Source organism: Homo sapiens, chromosome 6 (assembly GCF_000001405.40).
Source record: "Homo sapiens chromosome 6, GRCh38.p14 Primary Assembly".
Lineage (NCBI taxonomy): Eukaryota > Metazoa > Chordata > Mammalia > Primates > Hominidae > Homo > Homo sapiens.
Window position 1 is genome coordinate 116063505 of NC_000006.12, and position 14064 is coordinate 116077568.

General features: G+C 37.1%; 1 protein-coding gene across 5 annotated transcripts in view; it reads right to left on the reverse strand.

The window, feature by feature from the left end:
• Positions 1–14064, reverse strand: part of FRK (fyn related Src family tyrosine kinase) — a 169577-nt gene that overhangs the window by 132356 nt on the left and 23157 nt on the right. For 2 of the 5 annotated variants that reach the window (XM_047418554.1, XM_047418555.1), the window contains exon 1: positions 12481–12698. The exons of the other annotated variants lie outside the window; for them this stretch is intronic. The gene's annotated coding sequence lies outside the window, so the exon portion shown is untranslated. Of the gene's footprint in view, positions 1–12480; positions 12699–14064 lie in introns of those variants that run through there. 5 annotated transcript variants of the gene reach the window in all.

Sequence of the window (14064 nt, forward strand, 5' to 3'; positions counted from 1 at the left end):
AAAAAATCCAACACATAGAAGCAGAGAGCAGAATGGTGGTTACCGGAAGCTGGGGAATCAGGGGAATGGGGAGATGTTGGTTGAAGGGTACAATGTTTCAGTTAGACAGGAGGAATAAATGATAAGTATTCCATTCGAGACTGTGGATATGTTAATTAGCTTGAGTCAATAATTCTACACTGTATACATGTATCACAGCATTACTTTGTACCCCATAAAATATACAATAATAATTTGTCAATATCAGGTAAAAATAAGAGAATGTTACAAATAACATATCATTTAATTCTCACCAAATAAAAAACAATGCCTACAAAGAAGGTAGTATTTTTTTTTAAAAAAAGTATTTTAGAGAAGAAACTGAGGCTGAAAGGCTAGGTAATTTGTCCAAGGTCACACGGCCACCAAGTGGCTAACCCTGAGTAACACTCTGTTCTCAATCTGACTCCAGAGCCTGAGAGTATAAATCCTCAGTTTTGCTGACTCTAAAAATATCTGATATTATTCTTCTATGTAAAATTCTGGAAGAACCTCCAACACATTTGGAATAAACCTTAGTTCTTCAGCATGATACACAAGGCCCTGCTAACTTCTCCAATCATGGTTCATCACTCCTGCACACAGGTCCTGTGACATAGTTCGCCAAATGACCAGCAGTTCCCTGCTGCACCTCTGCATCCTCCTCTACCTGCTCCCCTGATGACTTCCTTGTCATTTTTCTAGGTTGGGTTCAGGCGATGCATGAATATAGATGAAAGGCCTCTATGCACCCCTAAATTCTGGCAGAAACTTCTACTTGGTTTGTGGTTGAGCCCCTCTTTGGTTTTCCAAGGAGAACTGAATTCCCTTCTCTGAACCTTTAGTGTCTTGTACAATGTCCATTATGTAAATAATAAATATTTGATGAATTAAATAATTAACACAGAAATAAAGAAAAAGAAACAGTGTGGGAGAGACAGAGATAAAAATGGGGAGGAAATGGAAGCAGGAAGAAACAATTGGGGAGAGATAAACATTTATGTGAATATTCATGATTGAGAGTGAAAGTTCTATAGTGTGAAAAGAGCCAGGAGCACAGAGGAGGGAATACATTCTGTCTATTGCTTCTCAGTCCCTTCCTTTCCTCTCTTATTGCTCCCTGAATGTTAGATTCCTTTGCCAGCCTCCTAACCCAGTTTTCCTGCCTGGAGTCAATTTTCTTCTCATCCTTATAGCAAATTGCCACCACATTAATCTTAATCACTCTCCTACACAATAACCTTCAACAGATCCTCATTGCTTGGAAGATATGACTTGGAATTCAAGGCTAAGGAATTTGTACTTTATCCAAACTTTATCAGATGTACCCTTTCAACACCCCCTCCATTATGGCTTTATGTTAGCCAGACTGGTTTATTAGATCTCCCATATGCCTCATCTGTTCCCACATCTGATCCTGTATCCTTTGCCATTCTTTTACTCAGTATTCCTTCCACTGCTAACTTCCCCTCCCAGTAAGTCTACTTACTCCTGCCTGCATTTCAAGATCTGAATAAAAATCCCTCACCTCCTTAGACCTTCCTTAACCATTCCAGCCAAAAATCACTTCTGTCTTCCTTGAATTTTCTAGCTCCCACAATCCCCACTCCTAATATACACAATATTAAATGAATTGAACCATGCTCCTATACCTGGTATGCTGAATACTGCTACAGAAAATCCAACAGCTATTCAGTTTTATACCAGGACGAATTAATGATCCCCAAACCCTGCTAGGCCTCAGCACTAGGGCTTAGAGAGAGCTATCATAAAGGAAAATTGGACTCTGTCTCCCCAACTCACACAGTAACATATTCCCCCACACATAGAAAAGAGGATTATGGCCTAGGGAGCCATAAAAAATAAAAACAAAACTCTCCACCACATAGTCTTCCTCCAAACTCTTGCTGTGAACCCATATAATCTGCAAATGTGCACTTCTTCTGCATACCTGTTGACCTTTGCTCAATCCCCTTCTTTTGCCTGATGTGATGACCCCAACTTCTCTCCCTTTTCCTACATTAACCATCTTCCAACTTATTTGCCAGATAAATATGGGTTCTTGTCTATCTTTTAAGAATCGAATAAAATGTCTCTGTCTTTATTAATTCTTTCCCAACTACTTCATTAGACAGAATTGACCACTCTCTCATTTGTGCCCTCCCAGCATAACCTATACCCATTTTTGTCATTTATTCCATGTGTGATTCTGATCTCTTTATGTACTTAATGTAGTGTTCTTTTGTTCCTATATTGACACAATGCCTAACACTTAATGGACACTCAATAAATATATGTTGAGTGAAATCTAATGAATGTCATTCTCCTAGAACACAGTTTATTATATCTTATGTAGTCTAATATCTGCTTATATGTAATTGTGTTGTTTCCCCAAGCATATTGCCCTGTCTTTGAAGACAAGTTTATGTCTTATATTTCTCTGTATCACAAGGAAAATCTAGAATCTGTCCTATGCATAGGAAGTCTCCCTACTTTCACTCTTGTTCGATTGCAATTGTGATGTTTAATATTGAGTGTCAACTTGATTGGATTGAAGGATGCAAAGTATTGATCCTGGGTGTGTCTATGAGGGTGTTGCCAAAGGAGATCAACATTTGAATCAGTGGGCTGGGGAAGGCAGACCCACCCTTAATCTGTTCGGCATCACCTAATCGGCTGCCAGCAAATAAAAAGCAGGCAGAAAAACATGAAAAAGCGAGACTGGCCTAGCCTCCCAGCCTACATCTTTCTCCTGTGCTGGATGCTTCCTGCCTCGAACATCAGACTCCAGATTCTTCAGTTTTGAGACTCGGACTGGCTCTCCTTGTTCCTCAAGCTTGCAGGCAGCCTATTGTGGGAACTTGTGATCATGTAAGTTAATACTTAATAAACTCCCCTTTATATATATATATGTGTGTGTGTGTGTGTATGTGTGTGTGTATCCTATTAGTTCTGTCCCTCTAGAGAACCCTGACTAATACAGCAACTTATTCTCCAAATGGCAGCCAAAATAATCTTTGTATAATATCAATCAGACCTGTGTTTTTCAATAGCTTCCCATTGCACTTATGAATTCCAAATTCCTTATCTTCAGAAATAAGGCTCTGCTGGGGCTGTCTCCAGCCTGTCCCTTCCCTCCATCTGGCACCACTCTTCTGGCTCTCTATGGGCCAGCCACAGTGGCCACCTTTCTGTTCACCACGGCAACAGCCAAGCCCTTTTTTCTGACCATGGATTCTTTCTCACTATTCTTCTAATCAACAACATTCTTGTCCAGATTCTTCATTTGGATGGATCTTTCTGTTCTCAACCTAAATAATGTATCATTAAAAAGGTTACCCCTAACCACTCTGTCTAAAGTAGCAAAACTACCCAACCTAGCTTCTCTCTTAGCATGTCTCATGGGTTGAATTGTGTCCTCCAAAAGGATATGTTGAAATCCTAACCCTCAGCACTTCAGAACGTGACCTTATTTGGAAATACGGTCTTTACAGAGGTAATCAAGTTAAAATGAATTCATCAGGGTGAGCCCTAATCCAGTATGACAGGTGTCCTCATAAAAAGGGAAAATTTGGACACAGACAGGCACAGAAACAACACCAAGCAAAGATACACAGAGAGAAGCCCAGCCATGTGAACAGAGTAATGCATCTGCAGGCCAAGGAATACCAGCAAACACCAGCAGCTAAAAGAGGCTAGCTATAGAGCATGGCACTGCTGACAACTTGATTTCAGACTTCTAGCCTTCAGAACTATGGAAGAATAGAGTGCTGTTGCTTTAGGCCACTCAGTCTTTGGTACTTTATTACAGCAGCCCAAAGGAACTATTACAGCATGTCACTATTTTTATTTTTATTTTCATTTATTTATTTATTTATTTATTTTTTGCAGCACTCATCACACTCTGTATTTACGTCTTCTATTTATTTGCCTACTGAGTACAGTCTCCTCTACTAGAAAATGTTCCAGTGAGATGGCGGCTTCATCTACCCTCTTCACTGCTATGTCCCTAGAGCTTAACCTGTTATAGGCAATCAACCAATAATCATTACATAATGGTAAAAATAACAAAAAACATTTTTATTGATAAAATAATATCACTACAAATGCAGTAGATACAAAGACACTGCTATTTCAGTGGAAAATTCCTATTTCTAGAAGGAAAGTTGGGGCCACTTATACTAATTGCAAGAGTCTTGTTGTTGTTGTCATTGTTTTCTATAATAGAACAAAGTGAAATATCTCTAAAGATTATTTTATACCAAAGGCTGAATGATAATGTCTGGCTACTACTGCTGAGAGGCTGATGATGGGATTTATGTTATTCTGAGGTTTAATGGAAACTTTTTCAGGCTTCAGCTGTCTTCCATGATGCCATTAAATAAGCAGACCGCAAACAATTTCATCTTATCCCTTGGACTTGAGTCTTGGCATCAGCTTAATCTTTTATTCTCTTCCAGACAAAATTTAGATACTTCCTTTGGCTATAATACAGCTTGGTACCTTGGGATTCTCCATCTCTTTCATCTTAACCTTCACCAATTCCTCTTTTAGTCATCTCTTGTAGGACCAAACACTAGCCTGACACTAGGGGAAATGACAAGAATCCGTTAAAATGAAAGGAAATGAAATATGGAGCTCTTTAGTTATAATCAGAGGAAAACAATGATGATGATCATGATGATGATGAAAAGATGGCCTTTAATATTTGCAGCAGATGGTAACAACTTAATTCTAAATTTATTCCAGTTTTCTTGGCCAAAGAGTATAATCCTCAGACTGGAAAAAGAAGACCAGACATATGTGAGTGAGTCTTGGAATTTAAAGAAAAGCAATGACTATTAGAAGCTAATATGGGCTTAAAAAGAAAAAAAAAAGATGCCGAATTAACCTCAATTTCCTTTTTCATATAGAATTACTATTGTAAATAAAAAATTGTTTAATTACTTCGGAACTTAGAAGACATCAAAACCAAATGCTGTATTTTACAACTGGTTCTATCTAACCAGCTGAAACCGTTGAAGAACATGAATTTTGAGGTGTGTTGGCATGCCATGTCCTTAATATCCATAACTGTAGCAGTTTTCCTGACCAATGATGACGGACTACATTAAACATCCAGCCAACATGGGATGCTGGACTCATTCTCTCCTAAACAGAAGGTGTGTTTTCAATACTTACAGAGCATAATCATGAAACCCTATTTCTATATTTGAAAATCCATGAATTTTACCCTCAATAAACTATAGCTACTCAGTGAATTTCTTTACTGATCTGAGTTCCCTTACTTGCAAGTATATCAATTCAGGTTTAAAAAAAAAAAAACTTTTTAAAGCTTTTTGTTTCATTCTTTGGCACTGTCAAAGACACAAAATAGGCACAGTATATCTAGATTTCAGTAAGATACTGAAAAAAATGATCTAGCAATATCCGCAAATGGGATTAGAGAACTTGCTTTCCAAAAAGACTGAATATTCTTGTATATGCAATCTCCCAGAAGCAGCTGATAAGCCTTTCCTAAAATATAGTTATCCATGGTTTACCCAGGTGATTTGTTCTTGCCTATTAAGCAGATAATTCATCAATCAAGATTCACATCTACCTAGCAGCAACATTATTTTAGCAATGCCACAGAGCCTCTCTAATCTGTTAGACACTATCAAATTTCCCCAAAATAACAGAAAATAGAAGCACCTGAAGTCTCTGAGGACTTTTTTCTCAAGAACTTCTCTTTTGATATTTCACCAAGTTTGGGATACAAAATTTGTGGCTGGGCTGACTGAACATGAGGATATGTAGTATGACGGCATAGTTCTTACTGTTCATCTTCAAGTTTCTTGGCTAATTCCAAACTCTATGTGCAAAGTAAGATGAACAGAGTCATGCCTCTCTTGCAGTTAACTCCTATGAAAATATTTATATTATTCAATATTACTGTGAAAAAAATATTTTTAAAGCTTTCATTTGGCCAGGCATGGTGGCTCACACCTGCAATCCCAATACTTGAGGGGGCTGAGTTGGGAAGATCACTTGAGGCTAAGAGTTCTAACCAGTTTAAAAACTAAAAATCAATCTCACTTGGTTTTCCTAGAAGGTCTTATCCAGGTATAAAAGTGGATTAATTCTGCTTAGTTTCGTAGATCAAACAAAAAAGGATGAATATGAATGTCATTCTGCACTAGAGCAGGGGAAAACAAAAAGGATTCAGGCTGGTGAGACCTGCAGATGGTCAGGGGAAATTCCTTGGGGATTTGGGCTTCCTCCTGTCTCTCTCACCTTTGACACAAAGCATCACAAACCACCCAGGGATCCTGTAAAAACTTGGATTCTAATTCAGTAGATCTGGAGTGAAGTCTGACAGTCTGCCTTTTTAACAAGCTCCCAGGTGATGTCCATACTGCTGATCTTAGGACCACAGTTTGTGCGGCAGGAATTTAGTGACTCAATTTATAGCTTGGTTCTCTGAGTGAGAGACATCAGCAAATCCTCACTATCACCCACGTTTGAAAGCATGATCATCTAATCCCTTGGATTTTTCACTTTGAAAAAATATTTTAAAGACCAACTTATCTAATTATCTCATTTTAGAATGAAGGAAACAGCCCATTATTTAAAAAAAAAAAAAAAAACCTGCTAAAGTGACTTGCTTTAGGTCACAGCTATTAGTGAAGATAAAATCAGAAATAACCAACCCTGTACAAGAGAATCTTCTCTTTACCACACAGCTGCTTCTTCTCAAAAACTCCAGTCAAAAGCAGATTCTGGACAATTCTTGGCTAGCATAGGTGGCAGGGTTGGGGGGCTGCATGGGTAAAGAACTCAGTGAGTGGAAGAAGAAAAGTATGTGGCCAAAGAACATTTTTACATAGAATGTGACCCATACAAGATTCCAGGACTGGGATCCCAGGCTCCTGATTCTCAGTCTAGGTTTATCTTGTGCTAACAACAATTTATTTTGCGTCCTTTGAATTATGATGTCCACAAATCATATAACCTGAACCATGGGCTTTCCTTTCTTGGAATGCTGCATTTATGATGCAGCTTTTGCAAAATCTCAATAGTATTAACAAAATCCTAATGCAAGAAGAAGAAAAAAAAGTCATATATCCAATCAGTATTTTCCAATTAAAAGACATATGTAATAGGTTAATTTCTATCACCCATGTTGTAAAACTTTTAGTCATTAGCAACAACAGCAACAACAAATGCACCGTTTCTTACTTATATATACATGGTCTTTTATAGAAACAAAGAAAACAATTCTTATGCCAAAGTTTCCAGATTTAGATTTTTCCTATGTCTATGCCAAGAAATTGGATAGAGCTTCAAGAATTTCTTGTCCTGCTAGGCCTTTTTTTGTCTCTTGATACATAAGAAGTATACTTGGCATTTTTTATTTTGATATTGGACATTTTTAAGTACCTGGTACTTTAATAACTAAGTTCATAATAATGATGTTTTAGCAATGTTTTTATTGAAAATCTGTTAAACTTATAATGCATATTGTCATCTATGGCACACAAGTAATTGGTGCCTTGGGCCTTGGAAGATAAGAGTAGCTCATTTTGGAAAAGTAACTGAGTCTTAGGGGCTTATTATTTCCTGGTGAATCATCAAAGTAAACATGGTCAGTATATAATAAAAGCCTATTACAAGGCAGTTTGCTTTTCCTCAAAGTTAAACCACAAGTCATACCTTGTTGCCTATGTACATAATGATATGTATGCATTTGGTTCACTTTAGCACAGAAAGTCTGTAATATGTGCTCTACTCATCTTCACAAAGGAAGGTATTCGCTACTGGTTGACTGTACACATTTTCACACCTTCACAGTCAATAGAAATTTCAGAATATCAAAGAAAATATACGAATTGAGTTACAAATCCACTCAACAAACCTAGCCCTACATTTACAGAATGTGAAAAACCTCATCATTCTCCACTTTTGCCTCCAGCAAATGTGCCATCTTCAGCCACTGGAGGTCATCTGCTGAAATTTCATTGCCCAGTTCGTATCAGATGCAATCAGAATTTGTTTGATGACAAAAACACTTATCAGCTAGTCTGTCAGTGCTTTAAAAAAAGATTAAACCACATGTCATTAATAGACCAATTAAAGGAAGCACACTCTGGTGTGCCTGCCTATTAAAAATTATTTATTTCAGTAGTCCTTGAGGCTTACCTCCTTTGCTTCACTGATTCAACAAATATTTATTGAGCTCCTGTGTGTCAGGCACTAGGCTAGTGCTTGGGGATATAAAATTAAATAAAATAAGCCTAGTCTCTCCTATACAAGGAGAGTCTCTCACATTGCAAACAAAAATGTGACCAGATAAATATTGTCAGTGCAAAAGGAGGTACAAATCTAAAGAAGCATACATTTGTTTGGAAAGATTGTCTCCCTCTCTGACTACCATAGTAGTTTTCTTCTTTTATAATTTACTCAACACATAATTGTTGAACATCCCCTGCTAGATATCAGGCAGGGTATTTGCTGTTGAGGATGTAGTCATGAAAAGAGGTACAGCCTGTAACCTAAATAGAATTTGTGAAACTACTAGAGCATTAGATAGCATTAGACAAATAGTTGTAGAAATAATTATAACCATCCTGCTAAAGCTATGAAGCAGAAGTATCAGGTACTATAAGAGGACTATTGCACTCTATTATACACAAGAGTCTTTAGATCTATACTTGTTTCATCTTTGTATCATCCACAGAGCTTGGAAAAAAACATTGAAAAAATTGATTCTTAAATAAATATATGTTGAGTGATTGAGTCCTGAATCTGAGGATGGGGTAAAAAATGTCATTCTTTCTAAATAAAAATATTAACCAAAATGACTTGATGTGGTATTCATTATTGCTGTTCAAAGATATTTCCAGTTCTCATCTTCTAAAATATGGCAGAATTGTACTTTCCTAACCCTTTGAAGATAAGCAAAGACATATGATTTGCTTTGAGTGATGAAATGTTAGAACTGATTACATCACTTCCAGGTTAAATAAACACACACACACACACACACACACACACACACACAAGATACCTTTCAGAGGAAATGTGCAGTTACACGTGTTTCCTTCCCCTACCATGATGACAATGTTCCAGATGAGGGGTGATCTATTAGCCTGCATTGTTGGCTAAGCAAAACATGGAAGAGCTTCCACTGACCTGATAGGTACATATAACCTAATTGAAAAATAACCTTTGTTGTTTTAGGCCTCAGAGAATTAAGGGTTGTTATCCTGTAGGAGTTTAACCTAACCCATACTAACTGATAACCTAGATAAGGTGAGATATCTGTGGAAAGTATAACAGGGAAGAAAAACATCCAAAGAAATAGTAAGTAAACTGCTGGTAAGATTAGCAAAAGGCTTAGGGTGCTCCCTGGAAAATAAAATATCCCTCTGAAATGGATGCTAGAAAATGTAATGTGTTTGCCATGAGGAAGTTTGTTATGTAATTTTAAAAATTTTTTATGTGTATGTGTGACATTTAAAATATTGAAAGAGAAGACTGGCACCAGAAGAATGTATCAATATGTCTCCACTGTACCCTGATTTTAATTATGAGTTAGTATTGCAGAATTTTGGTAAGAAGAAGAAAGGGTCACACTGGTATATCAAGGTGAGGAGATGATCTGCTTGATACACTCAATTTCTTTATTCAGATTCTCTATGCTCTAAGTAACTTTATTTTCTCTGTCTTGGACTTCAAAATGTGTCTTATCAGCTCTGCCAAGAATACTTCTAATTTTATACTTAGAAATTCAAGAATGGAGCACTAATTCATGTAACAGAAATTTGATGTGCAATGACCTTGACTAGAGAAATATTTATTTTCTTAAGTGATGAGTTTCAGCAATTATTAAGTAATTAAACATCTCCCTAGTACACCAGAAAAATTTCAGTGGAGAAAATCAGTCAGTGATTTACAAATTCTAACTGGAAACAAAGAAATGTATTGAACTTAACAGCAAACAAAATGCATCAATATGTAACAACAATAATAAAATTAATTTAGCAGAAATTATTGTTGAGAACATTAAATAACAAAAGCACTAAACATATTAAAAATGAATAGGGAAGCAGCAGGTAAGTGATCGCCACTTAAAACTCTCGCAAGAAGCCTCTACAGCCCATGACTTATTTTCCTTGTACATATTATGTAGGAAACTATTTTTCAGTTCATGCAATAATACTTACACTCCATTTTTCCATTAAAATGTGCTCATAAGTATTAATCAATTCCCATAACAGCAAAGAGATAGCAAAGAATTATCCAGAGTTGACAGACTGAGAGCTTGAAATGATGTTTGACTATAATGCCAAAGACTGCTGGGGGAATTAATAAGAGCTGACACGAGAGTTCCAAATTCTGGCTCCTGGCTGCTGCCAGGGTGAAGGAAGCTGTGAGCAAGTTAACTTATCCTGTCCTCTGCCCACCACATTGACACAAAGGAGCCAAGAGCACCTGCTTCTAAATTACCCCTGCATGATCAGCAAAGCTACTGCAGACGCTCTTTCTATCTTAGCTCTTGGTGTCTCAGAGTTAGGTATTTCACTTAGAAAAGATTAAGAAAATCTTCAAATCCACAATTCAATGACCTGGGTCAAGAAGTCCTCCACAGGTCTGACTTAGAGCTTAAGAAATAATACTGTTATATCCTAAAGCTAAAACCAGGAGACTGGGGGTGACTCATCTGTCCTCATAATGACTAACACCTTTGTGTACATGCTTTTAATGTTAGGAAGCTTGAGATTTGTACATGGCATACTGGTTACCAGGGACTGAGGGTCTCCAGCTCTGCTGGACTTTCAGTTTTAAAACTGAGGAAGTCCCAGGCAAACCCAAATGGTTGGTCACCCTTCTTCTGGGTAATGAAATATGCCATGCTTCTTCATTTTATGTAACTGATGAAACTAACGTAACCAGTTGTCTTATTTCTTCGAGTAATCAGATATACATGGGGCAAAATTAAATTTGAGCAAACACTTTTAAATTATTTATTTAAAAATATATTTTAGTGAGTTATGGCTACATTTTCATAGATAGCAAAATTTCACTAACAATATTGAAACTGCCATGAGGTAGGACCATCCATATATATCAAAGCCTATACCAAAAACTTGTCTTGAGATTATTTCTTTGCATAGAAGTCAGACGGGAGGAGTCTAATTCCCTTTGTACCATCCCAGGTCCACTTCTCATCTGTGGCCCTCAGCCAACCTACATCACAGCCCTATGAAGGGATGTGAAAAACTTCCTAATGCTCTCCAGTGCCATACCAGGGCACAAGAGAATCTGAGGGGCTGCCCTTAGTTTTCTATGTCATGCCTGTCCCTCTGTTGTGCCATGCTGTGTTCCCTTTGACTTTATGCCTTGACATTATGGCCTCCTAGGGTTACAATCTGGGAAGCCAGGCAGCAATATATACTGCTCTGGGACCTATCCGATTCCCCCTCCCTTGTGAGTGCTCAGAGAGAAGGAGAAGGGCAGAGATTAGGGTCATTTCAATCATCCAAGGGGGTTTTCAGCTCTCACCAAGGCCCCTCTGATTCTCTTTTTCCCACTTGCTTGTTGAACTCTTCTCTCCTTTTGGAAGAGAAACCAGTTCTTACATGTCACCATCCACTCTTTCTCCACTGTGAATCATGAACAGATTCTATGCTAGGTCCCAGGCTTTGGCTTCTCTATAATTACTTTCTATTTATGTGACTGTGAGTAAGTATTTCTTTTTAAACTTCTTATGCCCAAGTCCTCATCTGCAAAAATAGGGATAATTATAGTATCTACACCATATGGATCATTGTGAAGATTATATGAGTTAATAGGTATAAAAGGCTTACGAAAATTTTGACACAAAGTAAGCCCCCAAAAAAGCTAATAGTATTTTTGATTTTGGTGTGATTATGCAAATGTAAGCTTAAGAGCTGGGGGAAAAAAAAAAAAAAAAAACCTGGAACTTTTTTTCCTCCCAGAAGTTGGTACAAAGACTTTTCATTTTAAGATGATTGTTTCAGTCAAAGGATCAAAGGCCCACTTTTAAACTCAGGTGAGAAATTAACGCTCTTCATTGGGGTTCTTTTGTGCCCTCCTTTCCCTAGAGACCTAGACCTCAGTCTTTGGCTCTGTTTTTAACAATAAAAAAGTGCCCCACCACCACCCACAATTAAGGAGTAAAGGGATGAAATAATACCAGGATGATATTACGGTCCTTTGCTAGCTGTGTGACCTTGGCAAGTGGCATAAATTCTGAGCCCTACACTTTACAGGTGCTCAAAGAAGGCTGTTAAGGCTGGACTGAACAAAGTGAGGAGAGTGACAAGAGGTGACAATGAAAGATAGAGGGATGAGATCTGCAGGGCCTGTAGACTGTAGAACACAAAAATTTAATGAGATGATAAATGTAAAATTTTGGCACATATCAACTCTCCTTAACATTGATTCCTTGCATACCTTGACATTGACTTCTTCCTGGAAATTCCTTCTGCAACACAGAATTTCTCATCCTCATCTTCATTATTGTTTTCTTAGTGCTCTTCTTGTTTTAAGTATTTTAAATTGAGTCACTTCGTTTATAAATGTCCATTTTCTAAGTGTCTTGCATATCTGTTTCTGTATGAGAACTCTCACCAAAAGTTTATATGATGATTGCCAGATGATAAAAGATTTTTCTGAAATTATTTAAAGGAAATTATTCATTTTTTTCTTACAGTATGTTATGATGGATGTCATATATATGCAATGTATATCAAATTTATTTATGCAAATATAAAATACTAAACAGCAAAGTTCAAAATGATTTATTTTCTTTAAATTATTTGAAAGTATCCTTTTCTATTGGACCACACTTCCTTTTGTATTTCACATATTTTAATTTCAACTATTGAGTCATTTTCTTGATTTTAAAAATGATTTCACCATTAGATTTTTGCTATCTTTTTATAACAAATGAGAAATTATTATTTTTTTCATCCATTTCAGCCCTTGTAAAAGTATAGCAATGATAAGGAAGCAAAGGGTATGAAATAGCTTATAAACACCTTGCTGAATTGTTCCTGATTGGTCAATGACAGACATGTCTAATATCATTGTTGCACTTATTTTGAGGATGAAAGCTGATAAGTGAGCTTAACTGCTCAAGGGTCACACATTTCCAACCAATTCTCATGTGTTTTTCTTTGACTAAGGTGGTGCAGTGAGCTGGCTGCACAAATGGCCATGCAGACCCAGGCGGTGTTTATACTTCTGTTGTTCCATGAGTGCCCTATGCACTGATTCTCTAAGTTAAAATAATAATAGTAACAATGCCTTTCACTTTGCTATCAGTTTGAATCTGAACTTGTCCAAGAAAGGTGTTTACCAGATCAAGGAAAGAAGGGTGATAACGTTATAGATTATTTTTATTGTACTCTATCTGCATTATCTTGAAAAATCCATCTCCCAATTCATAAACATTTTCAGTTGCCCAAAGATAATTCCGAAGTATTCATATATCAGATTGACTATCCAAAAGATGAAAGAAATGAAAATCAAAAAGTTGTAAGTTCCTACCACATTTAGATTAATGAAGTAATTCATATAGAAATAGAGGTACATTACAAACTCCATTTTACATGTTTTTACCTGTAATGTAGTTACTGTCAGTCAGCTTTATAACAAAATAGAAAAACAGAGGCTTTAGGTTATTTACTGAAGTCACACATCAAGAACCAAGCAGGAATTAGTTCCCAATGCATCCAATGCCGAAGGCTTCATTCCTTTATGATGTTGTGGAAGGAATATTTCACATAGGGCTTAGCTGTGCCTGTGAAAATGCACCCTAAGACACCAGCCCTTCCCCACCTTGATGGGCCCAGGGTTGCTTTTCCTTTCACAAAAATTACAGTTGACTTCAGCTGCTCCTCAGGTAAAGTGGACTTTAAATCCTATAGCTCCCCACCCAACTCATTCAAATTTGTAATTTGATCCTTGCAGATACATGCACGGTGCTAATTCAGTGTGATCTTTCTCTAAAATATGGCTTCTCTCCTCTGATTT